This window comes from Homo sapiens, chromosome X, assembly GCF_000001405.40.
Source record: "Homo sapiens chromosome X, GRCh38.p14 Primary Assembly".
NCBI lineage: Eukaryota > Metazoa > Chordata > Mammalia > Primates > Hominidae > Homo > Homo sapiens.
Window position 1 is genome coordinate 70,543,162 of NC_000023.11, and position 13,631 is coordinate 70,556,792.

Below are 13,631 nucleotides of genomic sequence, written 5' to 3' on the forward strand. Positions count from 1 at the left end.
ACACAGCGAGACTCCGTCTCAAAAAAATAAATAAATAAAAAATAAATAAATAAAAATTAAAAAATTAAAAAATAAATTAATCACTGCATTAAAAAGCTAACTATCCAGTCATGTTTCAGGGGATGAGCAATAAATGGATGGGAAACTCATGAGAAAAGTAGAAAAACATTAAGCTCTCTAACAGGTAACCCAAGAGCCAGAGAATTGGAACTGCAATATATTGGACAGAATGAAAGTGGCAAAAACAAAATGCACAGAGAAATTTTGGCCTTATAGAGAGACTATGGAAATTGATCAACTTGGAGTTATAGTACAATCTAATTTCAGTTTGTATTGGTCACTATGGCAAACACACCTGAAAGGTCCAGATGAGGCTCATGGCTTAGAAATAGAATTTCCTATTCATCCGAGAAGACAGTAAAATAAATAATCCAAATGTCCAATGTTGAAGTTTTTATTTTTAAACTTAAATTCACACAGGCCATAATTACACATCTCCAGGAGAATTCTAGGCTTTGGTAAGTCAATGCTAGTTTGTATCAGATTGTCACCCTGCTATAATGTTCCACCATCTGTTGTGATTTGCAGATAGTCATGTCTCACTTCACAATGGGGACACAAGCTGAGAAATGTATCATTAGGTGATTTCGTCATTGTGTGAATATCATAGAGTGTCCTTACACAAACTTATATGGTATAGCCTCCTACACACCTAGGCGATATGGTAAAGCCCATTGCTCCTAGGCTACAAACCCATACAGCATGTGACTCTACTGACTACTGTAGGCAACTGTAACCCAGAGGTAAGTATTTGTGTATCTAAACATAGAAATGGTAGAGGAAAAATGTGGTATGAAAGATAAAAAATGGTACTCCTGTATAGGGCACTAACCATGAATAGAGCTTGCAGGACTACAAGTTGCTCTGGGTGAGTCAGTGAGTGAGTGGTGAGTGAACATGAAGGTGTAGGACATTCTTGTACATTACTGCAGACTTTATAAACACTGTATACCTAAGCTGCACTCAGTTTATTAAAGGGTATTTTTCTTTCTTAATAATAAATTAACTTTGGCCAGGTGTGGTGGCTCACACCTGTATTCTCAGCACTTTGGGAGACCAAGGTGGGCAGATTACTTGAGCAAATTACTTGAACCTGAGTTTGAGACCAGCCTGGGCAACATGGTGAAACCCTGTCTCTACTAAAAATACAAACAAATTAGCTGGGTGTGGTGGTGCGCACGTGTGGTCCCAGCTACTCAGGAGGCTGAGGTGGGAGGATTGATTGTACCTGGGAGGTCAAAGCTGTAGTGAGCTGAGATCATGCCACTGCACTCCAGCCTGGGTGACAGAGACTTTGTCTCAAAAAATATATAAATATAAATTGACCTTGTCTTACTGCAACTTTTTTCCTTTATAAACTGTAATCCCAGCACTTCGGGAGGTCGAGGCGGATGGATCACTTGAGGTCAGGAGTTTGAGACCAGCCTGACCAACATGGTGAAACCCTGTCTCTCCTAAAAATACAAAATTAGCCAGATGTGGTGGCACACGCCTGTAATCCCAGCTACTTGGGAGGCTGAGGCAGGAGAATCACTTGAGCCTGGGAGGCAGAGGTTGCAGTGAGCCGAGATTGTGCCTTCGCACTCCAGCGTCAGTGACAGCGAGACTCCATCTCAAAAAAAAAAAAAAAAAAAAAACCCAAAAAAACAAACAAAAAAACCCAAAAAAAACCTTTTTAATTAAAAAAAAAATTTTTTTTTTGGCCAGTCATGCTGGCTCACTCCTGTAATCCCAGCACTTTGGGAGGCTGAAGTGGGACAATCACTTGAGGTCAGGAGCTTGAGGCCAGCCTGGCCAATGTGGTGAAACCTCGTCTCCAGTAAAAATACAAAAATTAGCCGGGTGTGGTGGCATGCACCTATAGTCTCAGCTATTTGGGAGGCTGAAGCAGGAAAACTGCTTGAACCCGGGAGGCAGATGTTGCAGTGAGCCGAGATTGCGCCATGGCACTCCAGCCTGGGTGACAGAGCAAGACTCTGTCTCAAAAAAACAAAAACAAAACAAAAAACCCCAACTTTTTGACTCTTTTGTAATAACATTTAGCTTAAAACACAAACACATTATACAGTTGTACAAAAATATTTTCTTTATCTCCTTATTGTATAAGTGTTTTCCTATTTTTAATTTTTTAAAAAACTTTTAAAACTTTTTGATAAAAACTAAGACACAAACACATATTTTAACCTAGGCCTACCCAGGGCCAGGATCATCAATATCACTGTCTCCCACCTCCACATCTTGTCCTGCTGGAAAGGCTTCTTGGGCAAAACATACATGGAGCTGTCATTTCCTAGGATGATAATGCCATTTTCTGGAATATCTCCTGAAGGACTTGCCTGAAGCTGCCTTACAGTTTTAACTTTCTTTTATAAATAAAAGGAATATACTTTAAAATAATGATAAAAGTATAGTAAATACATGAAACAGTAACATAGTAATTTGTTATATCATTAACAAGAATTATGGACTGTATCTAATTGTATGTGCTGTACTTTTATATGACTGGCAGTTCAGTAAGTTTTCTTAACACTGGCATCACCACAAACATGTGAGTAATGTGTTGCCTTACGATGGCTATGATGTCACTAGGTGACAGGAATTTTTCAGCTCCATTATAATCTTACAGGACCACCATTATATATTATGAAATGTCATTATGTGGCACATGACTATATTTATATATTAAGAAGTAGTTGAGTCAAGAGCAGTCAGGATCCTCAGATATTAACATGGACTCAAATAATGACTTTCTGTGTAACTTTAAGCAAGGCATGTAGTGTTCTTAATGTTTTATAGCTCTCTTATAATAACAATACTGCCTTACATGTGTACAAGCTGTTAAAGTTTACAAAACATACATTATTTTCATTGATCCTTACAACCCCAGTGTGGGAGAGTCAGATCAGGTATTATTCCCACTTTACAAATGTGAAAACTGAAGTCAAACAGCAGAGGAGTGATATTAATATGCAACAGCAAACAAACAAAACATCATTTAGACCCTACCTCACACTATAACAAAATTTAAAATGAATCATAGAGCTACATGTCAGAGATAAAAGTATAAAACTTCTACAGAAACACGTAGGAAAAAATCTTTGTAAACGTGGGTTGGGCAAAGATTTCTCAGCATGACCAAAACACTACCCACAAAAGAAAAAATTGATAGATTGGACTTCATCAAAATTAAAAACTTTGGCTCTTCAAATGATACCCTTAAGAAAATGAAAAAACAAGCCAGAGACTAGGAGAAAATACTTACAAATCACATATCTGGTAAAGGACTTGTATCCAGAATATATAAAGAACTCTTATAACTCAATAAAAAATTCCATTTTAAAAATGGGAAAATAATTGAATAGACATTTATCCAAACACAATACACGAACAGTCAATAAGTACATGAAAAAATGATCATCACCATTAGCCATCAAGGAAATATAAATCAAAACCACAATGGCTATAACAAAAAAAAGAAAAGATGAACAATAGCAAGTGTTGAGAATGTAGAGAAGCTGGAATCCTCATACACCGCTAGTGAAAATGTAAAATGGTATGGCCACTTTGGCAAACAGACTGCAGCTCCTCCAAAAGTTAAACATAGATTTACCTGATGACCCAACAATTCCATTCCTAGGTATATATTCAAGAGAATTAAACACATATGCTCACAAAAACACTTGCACATGAATATTTATAGTAGCATTATTCATGATAGCCAAAAAGTGGAAACAACTCAAATATCTATGAACTGATGAACAGATAAACAAAGTGTGTTATATCCATTCCCTAGAATATTATTCAGCAAAAAAAAAAAAAAAAAAAAAAAAAGGAATGGAATACTGATAATGCTACAACATGGACGAACCTCAAAAACGTTATGCTCAATGAAATAAGCCAGACACAAGAGGCCACGTATTATATAATTTCATTTATATGATGTGTCCAGAAAGAGAAAATCTACAGAGACAGAAAGCGGATCTGTGGTTGCCTGGAGCTGAAGGTGGGAGCAAGAATTGTCTGCAAATGGGCAAGGGGAAAATTTCTAGGGTAATGGAAATGTTCTAAAACTGGATTGTGGGAGGAAGGACGGAGCAAGATGGCTGATTAGAAGCCTCCACCAATCATCCTCTCTGCAGGAACACCAAATTTAATAACTATCTACACAAAAATTAAGAATAAAAAATCAGACAAATGGGATCTAATTAAACTAAAGAGCTCCTGCACAGCAAAAGAAACTACCATCAGAGTGAACAGGCAACCTACAGAATGGGAGAAAATTTTTGCAACCTACTCATCTGACAAAGGGCTAATATCCAGAATCTACAATGAACTCAAACAAATTTACAAGAAAAAAACAAACAACCCCATTAAAAAGTGGGCAAAGGATATGAACAGACACTTCTCAAAAGAAGACATTTATGCAGCCAAAATACACATGAAAAAATGCTCATCATCACTGGCCATCAGAGAAATGCAAATCAAAACCACAATAAGATACCATCTCACACCAGTTAGAATGGCGATCATTAAAAAGTCAGGAAACAACAGGTGCTGGAGAAGATGTGGAGAAACAGGAACACTTTTACACTGTTGGTGGGACTGTAAACTAGTTCAACCATTGTGGAAGTCAGTGTGGCAATTCCTCAGGGATCTGGAACTAGAAATACCATTTGACCCAGCAATCCCATTACTGGGTATATACCCAAAGGGCTATAAATCATGCTGCTATAAAGACACATGCACACGTATGTTTATTGCAGCGCTGTTCACAATAGCAAAGACTTGGAACCAACCCAAATGTCCAGCAATGATAGACTGGATTAAGAAAATTGGCACACATACACCATGGAATACTATGCAGCCATAAAAAATGATGAGTTCATGTCCTTTGTAGGGACATGGATGAAGCTGGAAACCATCATTCTCAGCAAACTATCGCAAGGACAAAAAACCAAACACCACATGTTCTCACTCATAGGTGGGAATTGAACAATGAGAACACATGGACATAGGAAGGGGAACATCACACACCGGGGCCTGTTGTGGGGTGGGGGGAGTGGGGAGGGATAGCATTAGGAGATATACCTAATGCTAAATGATGAGTTAATGGGTGCAGCACACCAACATGGCACATGTATACATATGTAACAAACCTGCACATTGTGCACATGTACCCTAAAACTTAAAGTATAATAATAATAAAATTTAAAAAATAATAATAAAAAATCAGGTGAGTGATCACAGCACCTGGTTTTAACTTCGTATCACCGAAAGAGCCACTGAAGAGTGTAGGAAGGACAATCTTGAACTGCCAATGCCACCCCTCTCCTATGCCCCAACAGTGGCTGCATGGCATGGCGAATCTGTGTGCTTGTGGAAGGGAGAGCACAGTGATTGTGGGATCTTGCTTGGAACTCAGTGCTGCCCTGTCACAGCAGAAAGTAACACTGGGCAGAACTCAACTGATGCTCATGGAGGGAGTATTTAGACCAGCCCTAGCTAGAGAGCAATTGTCCATCCCAGTAGTTGGAACTTGAGTTCCAACAAGCCTTGCCACTGAGAGCTAAAGTGCTCTGGGGTTCTAAATAAATTTGAGAGGCAGTCTAGGCCACAAGGACTGCAACTCCTGGGCAAATCTTTGTGCTGTGCTGGGCTTGGAGCCAGTGCATCTGGGGGACATGCGACCTAGTGAGACACCAGCCAGGGCAGCCAAGGGAGTGATTGCACGACCCCTCCCTCAACCCCAGGCAGTGCAGTTTGCAGCTCCAAAACAGACCCCTTCCTTCCACTAGAGGAGAGGAGAGGGAAGCTTAAGGGGGACTTTGTCTTGCATCTTGGATACCAGCTCAGCCACAGTAGGACAGGGCACTTGGCATAGTCATGAAGGTCCCATTCCAGGACCTAGTTCCCAGATAACATTTTGAGACACACCTCGGGCTAAAAGGTACCCACTGCCTTGAAGGGAAGGACCCAGTCTCGGCAGGATTCATCACCTGCTGACTAAATAGCACTTTGGCCCTCAGTGATCAGCAGCAGTAGCCAGGTAGTACATACTGTGGGCCTTAGGTGAGACTCTGAGACATGCTGGCTTCAGTTGTGACCCAGTACATTCCCAGCTGTGGTGGCTATGAGGAGAGACTCCTTCTGCTTGAGAAAAGCAGAGGGAAGAGTAAAGAGGATTTTGTATTGCAGCTTAGATATCAACTCAGCCACAGTGGGTTAGAGCACCAAGTGGGCTCCTAGGGTCCCCGGTTCCAGGCCTTGGCTCTTGGATGGCATTTCTGTACCTGTCCTGGGCCAGAGAGGAGCCCACTTCTCTGAAGTATGAGTCCCAGGCCTGGCAGCATTCACCACAAGCTGATTGCAGAGCCCTTGGGCCTTAAGTGAACACTGGCAGTAGCCCAGCAGAACTCCCCACACCACCTGATGGTGGTGGCCACGGGGAGAGACTCTTCTGCGTGTGGAAAGAGGAAAGAGTGGGAAGGACTTTGTCTTGTGGTTTGGATACCAGCTAAGCTGCAGTAGAATAGAGCACTAGGTAGATTTCTAGGGTTTCTGACTCCAGGCCCTGGCTCCTGCATGTCATCTCTGGGGCCAGGGGGAAGTTGCTGCCCTGAAGGGAAGGACAGCCTGGCTGGCTTCATCACCTGCTGACTGTAGAGCCCTAAGGCATTGAGCAAACATAGGTGGTAGCCAGGTAGTGGTTACAGTGGGCCTTGGGTGAGACCCAGTGCTGTGCTGGCTTCAGGTCTGACCAGCACAGTCCCAGTGGCAGTGGCCACAAGGGTGCTTGTATCACCCCTCCTCCAGCCCCAGGCAGCTCAACATAGTGGAACAGAATAGCAAACCCAGAAATAAATCCATACATCTACAGTGAACTCATTTTTGACAAAGGTGCCAAGAACATACTTTGGGGAAAGAAGAGTCTCTTCAATAAATGGTGCTGGGAAAACTGGATATCCATATGCAGAAGGAGGAAAGTTGAGATCCCTATGTCTTGCCTTATACAAAGATCAAATCAAAATGGATTAAAGACTTAAATCGAACACCTCAAACTATGAAACTACTACAAGAAAATATTGGGAAAGCTCTCCAGGATATTGGAGTAGGCAAAGATTCCTTGAGCAATATCCTACAAGTATGGGCAACCAAATCAAAAATGGACAAATGGGATCACATCAAGCTAAAAAGCTTCTGCACAGCAAAGGAAACAATCAACAAAGTGAAGAGACAACCTGCAGAATGAGAGAAAATATTTACATACTACCCCTCTGATAAGGGATTAATAACCAGAATATATACAGAGCTCAAACAACTCTATAGGAAAAAAAATCTAATAATCGAGTTTTAAAATAAGGAAAATATCTGAATAGACATTTCTCAAAAGAAGACAAACAAATGGCAAACAGGCATATGAAAAGGTACTTACTATCACTGATCATCAGAGAACTGCAAATCAAAACTACAGTGAGATATCATCTCACCCCAGTTAAAATGGCTTATATCCAAATGACAGGCAATAATAGGAAGTGCTGGTGAGGATGTGGAGAAAAGGGAACCCTTGCACACTGTTGGTGGGAAAGTAAATTAGTACAACCACTATGGAGAACAGTTCGGAGGTTCCTCAAAATACGAAAAATTGAGTTACCGTATGATCCAGCAATCCCACTACTGGATATATACCCAAAAGAAAGGAAATCAGTATATCAAAGAGGTATCTGCACTCCTATGTTTGTTGCAGCACTGTTTACAATAGCTAAGATTTGCAAGCAACCTAAGTGTCCATCAACAGATGAATGGATAAAGAAAATGTGGTACCTATACACAATGGAGTACTATTCAGCCATAAAAAAAATAAGATCCAGTCACTTGCAACAACATGGATGGAACTGGAGGTCAGTATGTTGAGTGAAATAAGCCCAGCACACACACAAAAAACAAACTTCACATGTTCTCACTTATTTGTGAAAGCTAAAAATTAAAATAATTGAACTGCTGGGGAGAGAAAGAGTAGAGTGATGGTTACCAGAGGAGGGGTGGGGGAAATGTGGAAATGGTTAATAGGTACAAAAAATAGAATGAATAAGATCTGTACTTAATAGCACAACAGGGTGATTATAATCAACAATAATTTAATTGTACATTTTAAAAAACTAAAAGTATAATTGAATTGCTTGTAACACAAAGGATAAATGCTTGAGGTGATGGATACCCCATTTATCCTGATATGATTATTATGCATTATATGCCTGTACCAAAAAATCTCATGTACCCCATAAGTATGGGTACATGTACACCGCTATGTACCCACAAAAATTAAAAATAAAACATTTTTAAAACTAAAAAACACTGGATTGTAGTGATAGTTGCACAACTCTATAAATTTACTGAATTGTGCACAAGCCATGGGTGAATTTTATGATATGTGAATTATACCTCAAGAAACCTAATTTTAAAACAACTGAATAAACCTGCACAGAAAAGAAAAAGAAATCAGCAGAGGAGGGACTAGAATACAGGTCTTCAATGTTCCTTCTACTCTTCTGAGAAAGGATGCTTCTGAGAAAGGATGGGAATAGCAATAACTTTTTTCAAAAGGTTCATATCATCACAGAGAAAGTAATCATCCCACCATGATTTGAAAATATAAAATAATTCAAAATGCCTGGTGGTACTGCTACTTGGACCTAATCCATAATACACTTGTGTTAGAAAATGTCTACTTTCAACTATTTATATTTCAGAAACCCAGGAAAATTCTGTAGTGTGTAACTACAAAATTGTAATATGAATTTATCCTAAAACTCATATCAGAAAGCATTATTGTATATAATTTATAGTACACAAGACAGTTCAGTTCTTTAAAATTAACTGAAAGTTTAATATCACTATTTGACTTACAGTGCGGCTAATGTGGCTCAGAGCATCTTCAAAATAGCCCCAAACTTCTTCCAGGGGACAGAGCTCTACATTCGACGCCCCATCTGGCACTGAGAGGTTAACCAAGTTGTGCATACATTTGCTGAAAATCAAAAAGAGAAAACTCATCCCATAAGGAAAGAAATCATTGGCTTCATGGCTAAGATAAGTAAAACCTGGATCTCATCCCAGACTAACAGCTTCAAAACACTTCTGTTCTTCCCTCGGTTTTATCTGGCCTCCAACCTCAGAAGACAGATTTTTGAAGCTGTAAAACAGGTTGACCAATCCTTTCTTTTTTCATGCCTATGGTTGTCTTTCATTCTTTTTTTAGTTTCCTGCACGAAGGAGTTGTGGCTGTCTATTATATTTTATGAGCTGGTTCAATTTACAGGCATTTTAAAGCATCTCGGTACTTCCTCAAATGGGCAAGGGAACTGGGGTTTAAAGTGGAATGATTCCACAAGAACTGTCTTTCGTGCCTTAACACAGGAAGACTGTAATGATGTTTTCCAGACAAAAAAAGTCACACAACATCTATTTTTCCCCATGTCTGGACACAGAAAACAAAAAAGTCTCCAATAGATAATATTTTATACAGCACTTATCGGTGCTTAAAGTGCTTAGAAAAATAATGAGGCAAACATAGCAAGATGTTAACATTTGTTAAATCTGGGTGCTGCGTGCCTGTAATCCCAGCTACTCATGAAGCTGAGGTGGAGAATCATTTGAGCCCAGGAGTTTGAATCCAGCCTGGGCAACATCACGAGACCCCATCTCTAAAAATAAAACAAATAAATCTGGGTGGTGGATACGTTGGTGTTTGTTATATTAACCCCTGTGCTTTTCTGTACATTTGGAATATTATTTAGTGATGAAACAAAGAAAGAAAGGTACTTAGCAGTTTTATTATATACACAGATTCACACAAAGAAGCAACTTTTCCCCTTTTTTTTCTCCTTTGGGAAAACCAAGCTCCTTGACTTTGCTAAATAATTATTGGTCTGTAATACAACTCTCAGTATGGAGCTGTTCACAAGAATGCCCCCAGATCATCCCCATATCATCTTTAAAGTTGAGTCAATTAAGAACGATTGGTTACTTTTGAGGCATTGACTATAGTTCTTTTGGCTAGCAAAAAGGCTGGATTGTATTTACTAACCTGTATTGTGATATATCAATTGGTTCTTCCTTTTTGTAGAGCAATAAAGCCTTTTTCAAGGCCTTGAGAGCAATCAAAGGATAGTGTGCAGGCTTTTCCATTGCTATTACTAGAGTAAGAAAAGGAAAAAGGTTGTGAACATGATAATGTCACCCATCACAGTTTTCATCCCAGGCTACCACTTGCTTTCTCTAATGAAACTGGGCTGAAACAGATGAACAAAAATAAACAACAATGAATTTTATAAATGATAAATCTACAGTCGCTTTTGGAAATAGCTTCTACTTTCTGGGCAGAGTAGCATGGTGGGATTACCAGGTAACATCCTTTTTTCAGCAAACATCAACAGAAAACCTACTGTTTGTATGACCTTGCACACAGTCATACAGGTGAAGCAATAATCTTATGAATGACAGTCAAGGAAGGGCACACTAAGAAGGAAACAGAAAGCAGATCAGTAAAAGGGCACTAATTGAAACAGGTTTGTACTAAAATGTCCTATTTTTATCTGATACTAAAAATAGGAAACACTTGACAAGGGAGTATCAGAGGTAACTAACCCTAAGACTTCCAGATGCATTTAACAGATTTTTAGAATTGGAGTTCCATTATACAAGGAGCAGTGGTTGCTGTCACATGTCCATAAAGTATATATCATCTGCTCCATGGCTCTAGGAATTCTGTCTTGGCAAGACCAAGGAAAGGCAAATGTGACTCTTGTGCACTTGGAGCTACCTAATATTTTTATTAACCACACACATGCTCCTGAAGAGGGTGAGAGATAAAAAGGGAAGATAATTAGGCTGTTTCCTGCAGTGTACTCCCAAAAAGGCTCTATGCCCCCAAACCCACGTAAAGTTTGGCCTGAAATTTGAGAGTGGCAATTGTGTTAAAAAATATTACCAGTATTTCTCTGTACATTTCAACAAACAGCTAAGATTGCATCACTTTTGATTGTTGAAGCACTCAGTTATTTCTAGCTAGCCCAGAAAAACTTTCTAAAGTTTGAGCTCCCCCTGTTGTGTAGTTACATAATTAAATTCCACACAGAAAAAATTTGAGCACCTATTAGGAGCAATGAACTTCGCTAGGGTTTGTAAGTACAAATTAAGTAATTATTGTTTATGACCCTAAAGAGATTATAATCTCATAGAGTGAAGAAGATAAATGCACAAATGATCATAATACAAAATAGTCTAAGAATGGCATTAGAGAAGGAGAAACAAAGTGCTATGAGAAAAAATTATTTCCTACCTGGAGGTAAGAAAGAAGAGTAAAGAGAAGAAAAAAAGTCATACGATCTAAATGGGCACCAGCCTTACAAAAGCATAAATATAGCTCTTACTTGCAATTGTTTCAAAAGTTTTAGTTTCTAAATGAGGCAACTCCCACACTGATTCCAGGAAGCTTTCCAGTAATGGATCATTCAATTTGGCTCTAACTTCAAACTCGTACAGCAGAAGCAATTTCTCACATGAATCATTTGAGAAGGTCCCTAAGAAAGAGGCAAAAATGCAACATTCTTTGTGATTATATTATATTATTCTCTTTGGTTGTAATTTCACTAACTGGAGAGGTTTTCCTTCTAAGAAATATTAATTTTACTTACAATTTGAAGGTCATCTTCACTGCTGTAGACAGATTCTAAATTTTATTTTTGTTTTTTATTTGATTCTAACATTTTAAAATCTCTAAGCTAACCGCTACTTCCAACATTCTGTAGCGCATTCACTAGAACTACCTATATTTTCTCAAACAATTGCCACGATGCTTCTAAACAGCCTGAGAAAACCCTGCTGCTATTATTGATTCTAAATCAAATCCAGTGTTTACTTGCTTCTTGTGAACTTTCAACTGGGCTGGTGCTCACTCTAATGGCCGAGTTAACCAGAAGATACAGTGCTGTATAAACCAACAGTGACTTTATTTTAAGCAGAATAGAGGAGAGTTTCCAAACTGTTTCATTAGTCGACAGAATTTCTTGGGCATCAGCATAGAAAGAATTTCATGTCAGGTGTCATACACTAAACTATGTGAGACACTTTTCATTCATCCTTCTTGGTAGATTGAACATTGAAAAATGTTTTGAGGTATGACATATATACAACAAACTGAAAGAAGTGCTCTAACCTTAAACAGCTTGATGAGTTTTTACATGTGTTTAAACCCGTGTAATAACTACCTAGATTGTGATAACAAACACTTCCAACAATACAGAAGGTTCCTTTGTGCTCCTTTCCAGTCAATACCATCCAACCAAGGTAGCAACTATCTTTGCTTTTCTGCGTTTATGTTTTGCATCTATTTTCATGAGGAATCTTGGTCTGCAGTTTCTTATATTGTCTTTGTCTACTACTGGTATCAGGATAATAGTCTCATAAGATGAACTGGGAATTGGGCCCTCCTTTCAGGATGAGTTTGTATAGAGTTGGTATTACATCTTCTTTAAATGTTAGGTAGAATTCTTCAATGCAGTTTTCTTTGTTGGAAGATTTTAAACTATGAATTTAATTAATAGGCATAGGAGTATATATTTCTTCTTGAGGGAGCTTTGGTAGTTTGTGACTTTCAAGAAATTTGTACATTTCACCTAAAATTCTAAATTCATGGACATAAAAGTGTTCATAATATTCCCTTATTACCTTTTAAAATGTCTGTAGGATCTCTAGTGAGGTCTCCACATTTATGCCTGATATTGTTAATTTGTGCTTGATCTGCCTGGCTAGAGGTTTATCATTTGTATTGGTCTTTTCAAAAGAAAAAAAAACTTTTGGTTTCATTGACTTTATCTACTGTTTTCTGTCTTAAATTTTATTGATCTGTGCTCTTATTTTTATTACTTTTCTTTTGCTTGATTGGGTTTAATTTGCTCATTTTTTCTAGTTTCTTAAGGTGGAGACTTAGATTACTTGAGACCTTTCTTTTTTTTTCTAATAGGAGCATTTAATGCTATACACTTTTGTCTAGATACTGCTCTAGTTGTAGCCTACACATTTTTATATGTTGTGTCTTCATCTTCATTCAATTAAAAAAAATTCCTAATTTCCCCTGTCACTTCCTCTTTAGCCTACTGGATTATTTTAAAGTATGTTGTTTAATTTCCAAATATTGGAAGGTTTTACAGATAACTTTGTATTATAGATATATAATTCTCTTGTGGTCAGAGAAAATACTTGGATATTTCAATAATTTTATGATTTCAATACTTTTAAATTTTTTGAAGTTTGTTTCGTGGTTCAGAATATGGCTTACAATGATGAATGTTCCTTGTGAATTTGAAAAAACTGTATTCTGCTGTTGTTGGGTAGAGTGTTCTAAATGTCAATTAGGTCAAGTTGGCTGATAGTGTTGCTCATGTCTTCTACATCTTTATTGAGTATTTGTTGACCTATTCTATTGATTACTAAGAAAGGAATATTCAAGTTTCCAAGTAGTTATGGATTTGTCTATTCCTCATTTTAGTTCTAGCAGTTTTTGCTTCAAGTGT

At 38.2% G+C, this 13,631-nt stretch overlaps 1 protein-coding gene across 7 annotated transcripts in view; it reads right to left on the reverse strand.

Moving 5' to 3' along the window:
- The window catches only part of TEX11 (testis expressed 11), a 397,485-nt gene that overhangs the window by 31,935 nt on the left and 351,919 nt on the right, over positions 1-13,631 (reverse strand). For all 7 annotated transcript variants that reach the window (XM_017029649.1, XM_017029650.1, XM_017029651.2 and 4 more), the window contains 3 exons: positions 11,490-11,639; positions 10,145-10,253; positions 8,965-9,085 (listed from right to left, as the gene is read on the reverse strand). In XM_017029649.1, the coding sequence (XP_016885138.1) occupies positions 8,965-9,085; positions 10,145-10,253; positions 11,490-11,639 (380 nt within the window). The remainder of the gene's footprint in view (positions 1-8,964; positions 9,086-10,144; positions 10,254-11,489; positions 11,640-13,631) is intronic.